The 935-nt window shown below is 43.2% G+C and overlaps 1 annotated feature.

Moving 5' to 3' along the window:
- Positions 427-486: an enhancer, noted in NCBI's record as "active region_23995". NCBI's record gives its function as "activates an Ori minimal core promoter by ATAC-STARR-seq in GM12878 lymphoblastoid cells {active_cell/tissue: GM12878}" and the evidence as "EXISTENCE:reporter gene assay evidence [ECO:0000049][PMID:35858748]".

Genomic DNA, 935 nt, shown 5'->3' with positions numbered 1-935 from the left:
GGAGGTCTGCAGTAGGATAAGGCTCCAAGCTTCCTGGAGGAACACGTGTCCAAAAGCTTGAATTGGAAAAAAAATCCACCAACCCAAAAATCCTGACTCCAAGTCTCTTTGCTGGCCAGCACTTCTGAATATTTATAAGACTCTGATTTAGAGGAGGAATAAACAAGGAATACATATACTCCCCAAGAGAGTGGAGAAGACATGGACAGCTCCTTTGTAATAGCAGGACAAAGAAGATGTGAATCAAAGTCATGAAGAAAGCCGGCATAGCTTGAAAGAAGGAAGCTCCTGCCAGAAGTTCAAGGCTTTGATAAAACCCTGAGACGCCATTTTTAGGCCTCTGCCTGGTCTAACCTGTTAGAAAGGGAGAGGGTGCATCCTCTCATTTCTCCCAGCTCAGGAAATAGAAAATTCAAAGGAAAACTTGAAATGAAGTAGCAGCAAAGGTTATGTGGCTTCTTTCAAAGTAGATGTAGCAGCTTCAAATCAGGCCAGACATGTTCCTAAAAATAAAGAAATACGTAAATAAATAAATAGCATTTCCTCAAGAGGCTATCACACCAAGGAAAGCAAATAGAGGAAATCATGTGTTGAGCGTTGGTCCTTTGAACTACGGCAGTATGGGAAGTCTTCAGCTGCCTTCTGCGGGCAATGGAATAGGGAGAACAGCTTATTTCCTCAGCAGGGCGGTGCTGAGGGGGTGGGAGGGGGCTTTCCCTTGACCTATTAACCCTGCTCCCTCCTCTCCTCCACTCTCGTTCTGCACTGCTGCAGCAAAATTGATGCAAGAACCTAACTCTCTGCACACCCCAACTAAATGCATCTGTTGTACATACCTCTAATATTCTCAGTGCGAAATGCTAACTATAAATACCTGAAATAATGGATGTCAAAAATGTTTTTTGAACCAAAATGTGCTATACAAAGTGGAGTTA

The sequence above is a fragment of the Homo sapiens genome, chromosome 6 (assembly GCF_000001405.40).
Source record: "Homo sapiens chromosome 6, GRCh38.p14 Primary Assembly".
NCBI lineage: Eukaryota > Metazoa > Chordata > Mammalia > Primates > Hominidae > Homo > Homo sapiens.
Note: the sequence above shows the minus strand (reverse complement) of the source record. Positions and strands in the feature narration are given on the sequence as shown.